The following is a 14,850-nucleotide window of genomic DNA, read 5'->3' on the forward strand; positions in this document are numbered from 1 at the left end:
ATCCATGGGCTGGTGCATGTCAAATGACCCTTTTCACTATGGTAGTGGGAAACTAAAAGAGGGGAATGATTATGTAACAGAGCTTCCTATGAATGTTTGGAGAAGCAATTTTTATGTAGCTTGTTGTACTTCTTCCTTGCTTAGAATCACTGTTGAAGCCTCACTAGAAATGGAAAGTTAGCTTGGGATAGTGGGGAGAATAGCACTTTAAGTCCGAAAGTTTATTTTGAAGTTCAAATGGGATACACACACACACATACACACACACACACACACACACACACACACACACACACATACAGGTTGAGTATCCCTTATCCAAAATGCTTGGGACCCGAGGTGTTTGGGTTTCAGATTTTTTTTTTATTTTGGAATATCTGCATTATACCAGTTCAGCATCCCAAATCCAAAAATCTGAAATCTAAAATGCTCCAATGAGCATTTCTTTTAAGCCTCTTGCCAGTGCTCAGAAAGTTTTGGATTTTGGAACTTATGGATTTTGGGTTTTCAGATTATACACACACAAAGAGTCATAAAAGGAACTGAGGAGGGAAACAGCTGACTATGACAGAATGACAAGCTTCCTGCCATATAACATATGAAGATGAAATCTTAAGCTACTAGCAGTGTGACTCTGGGCTAGTCATTTGTCCCCCATGAGACCCTAATGCAGAGTCTTTGCTCATTTGAATTCAACATGTATTTACTTAGCACCTGACTCATTTAAGTCACTCAGCTAGAATATGAACTCTACCTTATGTCAAGGCTTTCATCCTACCAGGTGGTCTATTGAGTTAATTAGCCATCTTGAATCCTATGCAAATACTTTTACTGAACTCTTATAAAACAAACAAACAAACAAAATATCCTGCTTAGACTGGAACTATGTAACAATAATTTACTTAAGCGTATTCAGATACTTTCTAATTTATGTACTTACTTTTCTTAGTGAAATGAAACAGAACTCTAACTATGTCCTTTCGTTGGATTTCCTTAGTTCCCATAATAGTTGAAGAAATAGTCCCAATCTCAGGAAGCATGGCCCAAGAAGCTCTACTCAGAATCAATTTTCTTGGTTAGGTGGAATTGGTTAGCACAATCTCCACCTCCTACTACCACGAGTCATGCTATGGGAAAAGGAAGTTGGCAGATAGACTTTAGGATGCCCCTCTCTGCTGATATGCACATCCTTATATATTTCCTCTTCTTGAGTGTGGGTGGAAGCTGTGACTTGCTTCTGACCAATAGAATAAAACAAAGGTAATGGATGTCACTCCTGCGATTATGTTATAAAAGATTCAGTCTTACTAATAGTCTTTCTCTAGAGACTCTCTCCCCTAGCTGGATTTGAAAAAGTAAGCAACCATGTTGGGAGGTACATGTGGCAAGTAACTGGGATAGCCTCTACTTGCTGAGGGTAACCTCCAGCTGACCACCAGCAAGAAGCCAGGACCCTCAGTCCTATGCTAAGGAAAAAAATTCTGCCAACAATCTGAGTGAACTTGGAAGTGGATTTTTCTCCAGCTGAGTCTCCAGAGGAAACCTCAGCCCCAGCTAACATCTTGAATAGCTAAGACTTTACAGCCCTGTAAGGCCCAGAACAGAGGACCTGCTAAGTTGTGCCTAAACTCCTGTTCTACAGAAACCATGAGATATAATAATAAGTATGCATTGCTTTAAACCTCTATGTTTGTGGTAATTTGTTACCCAGCAGTAGATAACTAATACAAGAAAGTAGGTAGTCTATATTATGCAATTTGTTATATAGCTGTTTATGATCAGAAAAATACACTGGGAATCTAAATTTCTTCAATATTTTAGAGTTACTTTCTTTTCAGTATAAGAAGCCAATAAGAAAATAATAGCTTCTTTGCAAACATTATAAACCACCCTTTTAAATCTGTTTTAGTCCTTTAAGGATACAAAACAGTTGTGAACTAGGAAAAACATGTTTTCTTCTCTATGCTTATAGTCTGATACACAAACATTTGGGATTAGGAGGGAAAGAAGATATTATTAAATGTCCATTGATGAGTGTTACATTGATTGCATGTGGCAATTTCCCTTCAGCAAAATATAGTGCATCAACCATTTGGAACTTTATTTAATATTTTTTCTCATTATTGATGCTTTTAGTTTGATGACACAGATACATTGGTAAAAACAGATGGTTTGGCAAAAGTCTGGGCTTTTGAGGCCTTATGAGCAAGGCACTGCCCTCATACAGCATCAAAGAGCTTCCATGGGCAGGAACCTTTCTTTTTAGTGATCCACAACAACCTCCCAGAGATAGGAAGCTGGGGCCCAGGCACTAAAGTCTAATGAGCCAGTCATGCAGCAGCAAGGAGAACTAACTCCTCAGAGGCTGAGAAAATTTCTCCTTCATAGCACAGTCACTTAATAAGAATATGTAAAAATTCCCTTTCCTTTTCTTCAAGAGAATGCACAGAATTTATCAGAATAGAGAATATACACTCAAACTCAGAGTGTTTTATTTTCAAATAGTATATCAATGAATATAACCATTTGCCAGTAGCCACAGTACATTTTATCAATAACAAATACTAGTGAGATATTCAAATCTTGTTAATATGAGATATCATTGCTCTGGGAATTGCCATAGGAAGTCTTTGAGCACTACATATAAACCAGTGATTCTCAGTCTTAGCTGCATACTGGAATCTCTGCAGAGCTTTAAACATCTCAATGCCCAGGTTACAGAATTACATTAGAATTTCAGGGGGGATTTGAAGCCATCACAATTTTTTAAAGCTCCCTAGGTGATTTCCAAGGTGATGTAGTATTGAGAACTACAGAGACTTTATAGTTATATTAACACTTTCCCTGTGGTCACACATTTAATGATTTGAACTGAAAGGTAACTCAGGTAAAAATCAGGAAATAAGCAAAAGCACATAAACAAAGCAACAAAATCACAAGAACAAAGCAACAGTAACAACTATAAACTTTTGTTTTTTTACTCCCAAAGGCGCATTTTCTCTTCCATTACATGCTTACTGAACACTTAATTTATACATTCTGCTAAGGGCTGGTAATCAGAACAATGACCCAGACCCTAACCATGTAGATTTTTTTTTTTTTTTTTTTTTGAGACAGAGTCTTGCTCTATTGTCCGGGCTGGAGTGCAGTGGTGTGATCATGGCTCACTGCAATCTCGACCTCCCCAGGCTCAGGTTGATCCTTCCATCTCAGACAGGTACGCACCACCACACCTGGCTAATTTTTAATTTTTTAGAGATGGTGTTTCACCCTGTTGCTCAGGCTGGTCTCAAACTGCTGGGCTTGAGTGATCTGCCCACCTTGGCCTCCTAAAGTGTTGGGATTACAGGTGTGAGCCACTGCACCCAGCCTGAGGTAGAATTTTTAATCTGTTGACCGATACAGATAAGTTAATAATTAGAACTTCAATAGTAGAAAATTTTTTGCATAAAATAAAGGGTGTTGGATAAACGCAAAGGAGAGGGACATAGGCCTAGGGTGTGCAAAAGCTTATTGAATTAGTTGACACTTTATTTGAGTCTGAAAGAAAGGAGATTGATGGAGAAGTGTGGACAAGAACTACAGGCTAAGGGAATAGGATGATACAGACACAAAGGCAAGTAAGAACATGGTCCCTGATGTAGGCCCCTCCCCTGTCTCCTGCAAGATGTCCACGTCCTAATCCCTGGAACCTGTGGATATGTTATGTTACATGACAGAGGAGATTGAGTTTCCTGGTCAGTTAACCTTAAAATAGAGAGATTATCCTGGATTATTCAGAGGGACCCAATATAGTCACCAAAGACCCTTTAAAGTGGAGGAGAGAGACAGGGGAAGGTCAAAGTCAGAGAGAGAAGTAAAATGCTATGCTGCTGTCTTAGAAGACAAGGGAGGGGGCCAGGAGCCAAGGAATACAGTTGGCCTTTAGAAGCTGGAGAAGGCAAGGTAATGGATTCTCCTCAAGAGCCTGCAGAAGAAACATAGCCCTGCTAACACCTTGGTTATAGACTTCTGACCTCCATAACTTTGGGATAATATAGTTGTGTCATTTTAAAACCATTAAGTTCATAGTAAATTGTTATAACAGCAATAGGAAGCGAATACAGTTCTGCTCAGGGAAATGCAAGTGAGGATATGTCTGGGATAAAGTGTTAGTAAACCATTGAATGACTTTTGGCAGGGGAAGAAATGAAGCAGGATCATATTATAGAAAAGCCCTACTTACAGCAATATTGATGATAGTTTGAAATAGGGTCAACTCCAGGCCAGGTGCGGTGGCTCAAGCCTGTAATCCCAGCACTTTGGGAGGCTGAGGCAGGTGGATCACGAGGTCAGGAGATGGAGATCATCCTGGCTAACACAGTGAAACCCCGTCTCTACTAAAAATACAAAAAAATTAGCCGGGTGTGGTGGCGGGCGCCTGTAGTCCCAGCTATTCGGGAGGCTGAGGCAGGAGAATGGCGTGAACCTGGGAGGTGGAGCTTGCAGTGAGCAGAGATCGCGCCACTCCACTGCAGCCTAGGCGACAGAGTGATACTCCATCTTAAAAAAAAAAAATAGGGTCAACTCTACAAGGCAGCAGGATATGAGGGAGGAAGATTAGAGAGGAGACTGATGTAGTAATTTGAGTAAGAATAATAATAAAAAAAGGTAATAGCTGCTTTTTATTGAAGGTTTATGCATAACCCTGTATTTTATAGCTTAAATCTAATCTTTTATTCTTAAAAAAGTCTCAAAGGAAGTATTAATACTCATATTTTATAGAAGAGGTAACTGAGGCTTGGAGAATTTAATGAAGTTCCTGAAGATTATGCAGCTAATTAGTGATGAGCTAGGTGTGGGATCAGGTCTGTTGACCTTAAAGCACGTGTTCTTTCCACTACATCACTGTGCCTGAAAAGAAAGACAGATAGCAGCTCACCGAGGAGTGAATGAGAAAATTTTTTAAAGTGCAAGAAATCAGGGCCATTGGAAACAGTCTTCAGTATCGCAGAAGCATTTGAAGGTTTCAGAATAATAACCGAAGTTCAAGAAAGTGAGCCTAAGTCATGAAGGAAAAATAAAATGTTAAATATTGACTTTCTTTTTCTGTTAAATTCTCAAACCCTTTATGACTATGCCAATAACTTTTACCAATGTATAAAAGATTCGCTGCCATCGGTATCCACACTGGTGCTGTCTGATGGGTGAGAGCTGAGCTGATACAATCAGTGTAGAGTGAGAGGAACTCTGTGTGATAGGTAATAGGCAGAGTGTAACACCAAATCCAAATCAAGAAAGGTGGCTCACTTTCTGGGAAAATGGAAGAACTTTCTGCAGGATACTAAAGGAGATGTTGTTGTTGTTGTTGTTGTTGTTGTTGTTGTTGTTGTTGTTGTTTGAGACGGAGTGGTGCTCTGTCGCCCAGGATGGGGTACAGCCATGGTGTGATCTCGGCTCAATGCAACCTCTGCCTCCCAGGTTCAAGTGATTCCCCTGCCTCAGTCTCCCGAGTAGCTGGTACTACAGGTGCACACCACCATACCTGGCTACTTTTTTTGTATTTTAGTAGAGATGGGGTTTCACCATGTTGGCCAGGATGGTCTCGATCTCCTGACGTCATGATCCACCTGCCTTGGCCTCCCAAAGTGCTGGGATTACAGGCGTGAGCCACTGTGCCCAGCCCTAAAAGAGATCTCGATCAGGGATGCTCCTAGCTCGCTACTCAAATACCTACCTAATTCTGAAAGACAACTAAGTGTATAGTGGATAAACTCAACTTCTTAAGTGTGTCATCAACATTCAAATATTCAAGAGTGCTCATCAAAACTCAAAAAGGCTGAGAATTACTGGAATATGTTTTGTTCACCTCTGTCTCCTCATGCCTAATGGGGGTCATGTTGATATTTATTGACTTCACTAAATGAAACATGTTCAATTTTCATTTTTCTTGTTGTTGTTACTGGTTTGGTTACATATAGTGCCAAGATCTTAGCTCTAATCAATTATAGCTCCTGCCTATTCATTAATGATCTCTAAGGAAAATCCAAATTCTTAGGTTGTACTATTAATTCATAATGAGTATTGTCTGAAGTAAGGGTGCCTTTGATTAGGTTAAGCTAGAATCTTTTCTTTTATAATCCAAGAAGATTTTCATTAAATGATTGTTTCAGTGTGATATGGTCTGTGTTATTGCTATCATATTTGGCTTGAATGTGATTTGGCTCACAAGACCACAAATGTTTTCCTTTTAAAAAAGATTTATTTATTTTATTTTGAATGTGCTCTATTTTTTGAGCAGTTTCAGGTTTAGAAAAAAATTGTGCAGGAAGTATAGAGAGTTTCCATATATCCCCTCTGCTTCCACCCTCTAGTTTCCAGTATTATTAACATTTTGCATTCCTGTGGTATATTTGTTATAATTGATGAACCAATATTGACACATTAATATCAACTGAGTATACAGTTTACATTAGGTTTCACTCTTAGTATTGAACATAATTCAGGTTTGGACAAATGCATAAAGTCAGGTATCTACCATTACAGTATAATACAGAACAGTTTTGTTGCCCTAAAATTATTCTGCATTCCACCTATTCATTCCCTACTCCCAACACCAAGCCTCTGGCAACTACTGAACTTTTTACTGTCTTCATAGTTTATCTTTGTCCAGAATGTCTCACAATTCAGATCATACCAGTATGTAGCCTTTTCAGACTGTCTTCTTTCACTTAGCAATATGCATTTAAGGTTCCTCCTCATCTTTTCATGTCTTAATAGCTCATTTCTTTTAAGTCTGAATAATACACAGCTATATTCTATGGGGGTCATACAAAGAATTAATAAGGAACATCTGAAAGGGGAGAAAACCGCAAATAGGACTTCACCATTGTGGTCTCAAAACTGAACACACACCAATGTGAAGGTGGACAGAGACACAAAATCCCCACAACCATAGAAGGAGAGTGAAATCGATGAGCAGACTTAGAAAGTGCAGAGCAAAACAAAACAGTGCAGACTGAAAAATAGAGAAGCCGTCAATAGGTCAGAGGCTGAGAGATGCTGAGTTAAAGAGATATGACAGACTACTGAGATGGAGAAATTCTGCTCACTGATTGCATGGATCAATATGAGAGACGCTGCTAAAATACCTCCTCCATGTCACGTTATCATAAATCTGTCCAAAGAGAGGCTCCCTTCAATCCCCAAGCTGTTCATCTTCATCTTTCAGATACCAATTTTACTATCAAGCTTAGCTTCTGTCATATTTCCAGTGTATATGCTTTTAGTCTCGGGTTTGCATTAAGTATTTATGAAATGTTGAGATTAATTGAATTCTCTAATTGTTTATATTTAGGGCAACTGAATACATTATACCAGTTTCTGGAGGTCCTTTAGTTCAGTGGTCCCCAAATGCTGGCTCAGAGATTAGCTGTGCCAGAATCCTCTTGAAGGAATATACGAATGATAGCTTTGTAGCTCTTGCCTCTGGAGAGTCTCATTCACTGTGTCTGATGGTGCCCAAGTATCTGTATTTTTACAAAGTGCCTCAGGGGACTCTAATGCGGGGATTTGTGAGCTGAGCTTCTTCTGTAGAAGGCAAGAAAGTGAGTATTTAAGACATTGGGGCTACATGGTCTTTGTTACCACCACTGAACTCTGCCATCTTAGCATGAAAGCAAACGCAGACAACACATAAACAAATGAGCAGAGCTGTCTTGCAATAAAACTTTATTTATAAAAGCAGGTTCCTTAAAAAGTTAAACAGGCCAAGCTCTGTGGCTTACAACTGTAATCCCAGTACTTTGAGAGGCTGAGGTGGCAGGATCACTTGAGCTCAGGAGTTTGAGACCATCCTGGGCAACATAGTGAGTCCTGTCTCTACAAAGAATTAGCCAGGCTTGGTGGCACATGCCTGTGTTCCCAACTATTCAGGAGGCTGAGGTGGGAGGATCACTTGAATCCAGGAGGTGGAGGCTGTAGTGAGCCATGTTCATGCCACTGCACTCCAGCCTGGGTGACAGAGTGAGATCCTTTTGAAAACAACAGCATAAAAAGTTAAACATAGAATTACCATATGGTCTAGAAATTCCACTACTAGATATATACCCCCAAATGATTGAAAGCAAGAACTTGAACATATATTTGTATACCAATGTTCATAGCAGCACTATTCACAATAGCCAAAAGGTGCAAGCAACACATGACCATCAGCAGATAAATGGATAAACAAAATATGGTATACACATACAATGGAATATTATTCAACCTTAAAAAGGAAAGAAATTCTGACGCATACCACAGCATGGATGAACCTTGAGGATAATTGCTAAGAGAAATAAGCCAGACACAAACAGACAACTATTGTATGATTCCACTTATATTAGACACCTAGAATAGTCAAATTCATAGCAGGAGAAAGTATAATGATAGTTTCTAGCAGTTGGAGGGAGTGGAGAAGGGGCAGTTGTTTAATGGGTGCAGTTTCAGTTTGGGAGGATGAAAAAGTTCTAGCGATGGATGGTGGTGATGTTTGCACAACAGTGTGAATGTGCTTGATGCCACTGAATTGTACACTTGAGGAAGGCTAAATGGTAAATTTTTTGTTTTGTGTATTTTACCACAATAAAAAATAAACTAAAAAACATGATTAAGAAGGAGAAAATAGAAACGAAAAACAAATGGAAGGAGGCATGAATTTGGCCCATGGATGTAGTTTACTAACCTCTGGTCTAATGAGCAGCCAGGGTATGGAATCACCAGCAAGAGTTCATTTCCTCTTGGAGTTAGAATGGCAGCCAAGTCCACCTTTATTTTCTTTTGACTGGGAATTATTTCTGGAGATGGAAATCCCTGGTGTTTAACAGCATGCAATCTTTGCCAACTTCCATGGAAAACAAGGGACTCTTAGTGTCATATTCGGATCAAATGGCATTCCATATGACTATGTTCTACTCCAGTCCTCCAAAATCTACCTGGCACCAAATACCAGATAGGGCTTCTCATGAGGAGGTATTCCAAGTGCATTATTTGCCTTCAGAAGTTTTTTATTCCCTGTACATCCCTCTCTGTCTCTGTCTCTCTCCCTTGATTCTTGTGTCAGTTAAATTGCTTTTCTTCCACACAGAAAAACAAGTGAGCACAGAGAGACCTGAAGGGTTTTTCTAAAACTACTGTCTGTTGGCAGTGGAATAGAAGTCCTCATTTGTGGAGACAGGAGGAGTTTGATGACAACCATTCCCCTTCCAAATGCTATTAATTTACTTATCTTTTCCCAATGATAGTTTAATGATCAAACTGTAGCAAAGTGCCTACTCAATTACAAATCTGGAATCAGTGAATTAGTACAAATTAATGAGATTTTATCATTTATAAAGGGATGACATTACTTTTATATATAAAACTAGAATGATATTTAAAATGAGGCAACCATAGACGTTTTATCTATAGAAGTTTCTTTAATTCAACAAAATTTTGTACTTTCAAGACTGAAGTGAACTAAAACTGGTTTCCTTATTCAGAACAGTTTCCTTTGCCCCCTTAATTTTCTGATCAGACATCTCAGAGAAGTCACAAAATGGCATGTCCAATCAGGTTGGTAAAATAATGCACTTATTAGCTAGGGCATAGATTAATGCTTAAAGGAGTATACTTTTTAGGTTCACAGCAAAACCTCATTTTAAAACTAAACACTGCTCTAAAAATGAAGTCTACTGAAAAAAAAAAGAAAGTTTATTGGCTCAATTGATAAGTTTTTATCTTTATCTCATTGCTTGTTAACATACACTAAAGTAGTTTCTTTTTTCTATTTTTGTCACTGAGGCTTATACACCTCAGGTGCCCTTAAAAAAGTGTAGAAGAACAATTAATGGTGGGAGTAAGGAATTAATGGAAGAAGGTGTGTTTGTGTGTGTGTGTGTGTGTGTGTGTGTGCTGAATATGCAGTTGTTGTAAAGCAGCTTAGTGTAAGAGGGGTGGAAGTTTACATATCTTTCCATGTATTACATGAAGTAAGTTTCTGTAGTGCTGTGATCTGAATGTTTGTGTTTCCCCAAAATTCCTATGTTGAAACCTAAGGCTTAATGTGTTGGTATTAGGAGGTGGGACTTTTGGGGTGGTTAGATAATGGAGGCACAGCCCACATGGATGGGATTAGTGCCCTTATAAGTGGCTGGAAAGACCAGAGGTCTTCCCTTTCACCATGTGAGGACCTAGCAAGAAGGCACCATCCGACAAGAAAGTGGGACCTCATCAGATACCAAATCTGCTGATGCCTTAGTCATAAAATTCTCAGCCTCCAGAACAGTGAGAAATAAATATTTGTTGTTTATAAGCCATCTAGTTTATAGTAATTTGATAGCATTTTGTTATAACATCCTGAATAGACTAAGACATCTATCTACCTGGCCTAATCGTGTTCCTACATATTATTTCAGTTTCCCTGAGGGATTTTAAAATGGCATACTATTTTACAACTCTCAGGTAGTCCTCCCAGAGTTGGCTGTTGTTTCAAAACTCCTTTTCCTGAGGAAAATATCTATGGTGGTAGTCAGGCCATCTGAGTGAGCTGTGGTCTACACAAATTTACGTGCTTAAGCACAGGTACTGATGTGCTTCATTCATTCACATGTTTATGCGACAGCAAGCACTTCCTTTGTCCAAGTAGGCAATGTGGTAGAGCTGCCAGGGATGGGGACACAAAGAAGGCATGATTGCAGCAGTAAGGGCCCTGACCTAGATCAGAGGTGGGAAAAATAAAAAAGAGCAATTGAAATAAGGATTAGAAACACAGCAATGACCTCACAGATAAGGAGCTCATCCTATTGGCCAATCCCATGAAAATTGCTTAACATACTCACATTCTTTTAGTTCTTAGCAACACCATGCAGGTCCTATCATGCCCATTTTACAGGGAGCAGGAATAACCATCATTACTGGTAGAACTGGAATTCAAACCCAGTGTTTAATTCTAGAGTCTAAGCTCTTAATCTTATGCTCTTTAGCAAAATGCTGCCATTGTCTTTATATACTTTGGATGGGCAAAAAAATGCCACTACTGGTGGTGCAGGAACTAATGCCTTAAAAAAGTGACAACATAAGGATATCTAGCATGGCAGTAGAGTGAAGATTGGCTCTATGTTCTAACTCAAGGAAGCTTGAGTTACGGTCCATGGGAATATTGCTTAACCCCTCCTGTTTCTCATTGCTTAACCTCATGCTCCTCAAGTGTGATTGGATGTCAGCTATATAGTTCATAGGATTATCATAAGAATTAAATGAGATAGTGCATGAATAGTGCCTTGCTCAGTACTTGGCAGAAAGAATAGGAGTTCAATAGAAACTGCTCTGTTTTGATGATGATTAAGATGAAATGTGCCTGGCTAACTCCATATTCCAGAGTTACTCTGCCATTGATTCTGTATGAGTAAATGATTGGTAATCATTGTTCATAATTTTTTCTATGGGATACTTATTTGTTTGAATAAGGGCCATGGAATTTGGAAGCTGAAATCAAAACCAATACACTTAAAATGAAAGAAAATCAAACAACGATTGAGTAATCTATCTAACCCATCACTGAGTTTTGTTTGGTAACAATGATAGGACATAAAGAGCATACTTAAATTGCATTTCAAGTCATGGCAAATAATTCTTGGTGTTTTAGAGAGCAGATCCCCTTCCCAAAGACTTCTGAGCATGTGGCTGAAATTTCTTAAACATTCCTCAAATGAGGTACAAATTATGGCCATCCTATTTCTCACCTAGTGACTGTGTTGTCCTGGCAAGTCTTTAGTCTACATTCGCTATTTCACTTCATCAAATAAAATAAATAATATTGTTAGACTCTAATGAATGAAGAATATACAATGTGGCAGCTACTTAGTACACATTCAATAGCAGTAAACTTCACCTTTCCTGTCACCTCAAAATAATATCCAATAACAAAAACGTTTTCTTGGGTGGGGTCAAGATGGCCAACTACAAACAGTGGTGATCAGAGGCTCCAACTGAAAAGAACCACAGTTAGCATGTGAATCCTTCACCAGCAACCAGGGTATCCAGATTCTCTCATCAGAACTGACTAGGCAGCTGGCGTGACCCACGGAGAGGAAGGAAGAGCAGTGAGGTGTGGTGGCCCACCTCAGAGCCACAAAAGGCAGGGGAGCCCCCACCCTCTAGCTAAGGGAGGGGGTGAGTGAGCATGCTACCCAGCCAGGGAAACCATGGTTGTTCCACAGAACTGTGCAACCCACAGATTGGAAGATCCCACTCGCAAACTCACGCCACCAGGACCTAGGGTCCCAACCCTGGAGCCACACAGATTCTTAATAGCCTCTCAGCTGGAATATGCCTAAGCCTGCCAAGCTCCTGGGGGAGGGGCAACTGGCACCACAGCTGTGGCTGCCTGCTGCCTAGGCCATTTGAACTCCTTGGGGGAGGGGCAGCAGCCAGCACTGGGACTCATAATTGCCTAACACGCTAAGCTCCCTGGGCAGGGGAAGGGCAGCATCCATCCACCAGGCCGTGCTTTTCCCCTCCTGGAGCCAGGGAACCTGGACGGCTTGGTCCCCAAGAGGTCCCCACAGCCCAACACACTGGCTACGGCAGACTATGGCCAGAGCACCTCTTCAAGCCTGACCCTGACACATCCTTCCTCACTGGGCGGGGCTTCCCTGCAGGAACTCCAACAACTCTAGTCAGAGGCTCAGGGACAGAATCTGGATCTCCTTGGGCCTGAGCCCCTAGGGGTCAGGGTGGCCACAGTCTCTGCGGACCAGCAGACTTAGCCTTTCCTCCTGGTAGTTCTGAGGAATCTGGGCAGCCCAGAAGAGTGGGTTTTCCCCCAGCAAAGCACACCCTCCTCCACCAGGGGACATTCAAAGTGCTTTGTTAAATGGGTCCTGTTCCCTGTGCCATCCAACTGGGTGAGATCCTCCAACAGGGGTTGTCAGACACCCTATACAGGAGTGATATTACTGGCATCAGGTTGGTGCCCCTCAAGGTCAGAGATCCCAGGAGAAGGAGCAGGTACCCATCTTTGCTTCTTTCCAGCCTCCTTGAGTGACATCTCCAGGTATGAGAGCAAACCAGATGAATAGGGCCTGAAGTGAACCCCTGGCAAACTGCAGCAGCCCTATAGAAGAGAGACCTGACCATTGAAAGAAAAAAAACCCAAACAAACAGAAAGCAACAACAATAGCATCAACAATAACAAAAAATCTCCATAAAAACCCCATCCAAGGGTCAGTAGCCTCAAAGATCGAAACTAGACAAACTCAAGAAGATGAGAAAGAATCAACAAAAAACATGCTGAAAACCCAACAGGCCAGAGTGCCTCTTCTCCAAATGATCGCAACACCTCTCCACCAAGGGTGCAGAACTGGACGGAGGATGAGATGAATGAATTGGCAGAAGTAGGCTTCAGAAGATGGGTAATAAAAAGCTTCACTGGGCTAAAGGAGCATGTTCTAAACCCAGTGCAAAGAAGCTAAGAACCTTGATAGAATGTTAGAGGAGCTGCTGACTAGAATAACCAGTTTAGAGAGAAACATAAATGACCTGATGGAGCTGAAAAACAAAACACGAGAACTTCGTGAAGCATAACCAAGTGTCAATAGCTGAATCGACCAAGCTGAAGAAAAGATATCAGAGTTTGAAGACAATCTTGCTGAAATAAGCTATGCAGACAAGATTAGAGAAAAAAGAATGAAAAGGAATGAACAAAGCCTTCAAGCAATATGGGATTTGGTAAAAAGATTGAACCTATAATTGATTGGAGTACTTGAAGGAGACAGGGAGAATGGAAACAAGCCAGAAAACAAACTTCAGGATATTATCCAGGAGAACTTCCCCAACCTAGCAAGACAGGCCAACATGCAAATTCAGGAAATACAGAGAACACCACTAAGATTCTTCATGAGAAGATCAACCCCAAGACACATAATCATCAGATTCTCCAAGGTCAAAATGAAGGAAAAAAATATGAAGAGCAGCCAGAGAGAAAGGCCAGGTCACCAACAAAGGGAAGCCCATCAGACTGACAGCAGACCTCTCAGCAGAAACTCTACAATCCAGAAGAGACTGGGGGCCAATATTAAACATTCTTAAATAAAAGAATTTTCAACCCAGAGTTTCATATCCATCCAAACTAAGCTTCATAAATGAAGGAGAAATAAAATCCTTTCCAGAGAAGCAAAAGCTGAGGGATTTCATTACCACCAGGCCTGCCTTGCAAGAGCTCCTGAAAGAAGCACTAAATATGGAAAGGAAAGACCAGCCACTGCAAAAACACACCAATATAAAGACCAATGACACTATGAAGAAACTGCATCAACTAGTGTGCAAAATAACGAGATAACATCATGATGACAGGATCAAATTTACACATAACAATATTAACCTTAAATGTAAATGGGCTAAATGCCCCAATTAAAAGACAAGGACTGGCAAATTGGATAAAGGGTCAAGACCCATTGGTGCGCTATATTCAGGAAACCCATCTCATGTGCAAAGACATACATAGGCTCAAAATAAAGGGATGGAGGAAAATTTACCAGGCGAATGGAAAGCAAAAAAAAAAAAAAAAAAAACAAAAAAACAAGAAAAAAAGAAAAGCAGGGGTTGCAATCCTAGTCTCTGGCAAAACAGACTTTCAACCAACAAAGATCAAAAAAGACAAAGAAGGGCATTACATAATAGTAAAGGGAACAATTAAACAAGAAGAGCTAACTATTGTAAATATATACGCACCCAATACAAGAGTACCCAGATTCATAAAACAAGTTCTTAGAGACCCACAAAGAGACTTAGACTCCCACACAATAATAGTGGGAGATTTTAACACCCCACTGTCAATATTAGACAGATCAG

General features: G+C 40.3%; 1 long non-coding RNA gene across 1 annotated transcript in view, besides 1 other annotated feature; it reads left to right on the forward strand.

Moving 5' to 3' along the window:
* The window catches only part of MIR548A1HG (MIR548A1 host gene), a 200,152-nt gene that overhangs the window by 121,420 nt on the left and 63,882 nt on the right, over window positions 1–14,850 (forward strand). The gene's annotated exons all lie outside the window — the stretch shown is intronic.
* Window positions 12,432–12,931: an enhancer, noted in NCBI's record as "H3K4me1 hESC enhancer chr6:18656829-18657328 (GRCh37/hg19 assembly coordinates)". NCBI's record gives its function as "activates a minimal SCP1, AML or CMV promoter by ChIP-STARR-seq in primed H9 embryonic stem cells {active_cell/tissue: H9 hESC(primed)}" and the evidence as "EXISTENCE:reporter gene assay evidence [ECO:0000049][PMID:30033119]".

Source organism: Homo sapiens, chromosome 6 (assembly GCF_000001405.40).
Source record: "Homo sapiens chromosome 6, GRCh38.p14 Primary Assembly".
NCBI classification, from domain to species: Eukaryota; Metazoa; Chordata; class Mammalia; order Primates; family Hominidae; genus Homo; species Homo sapiens.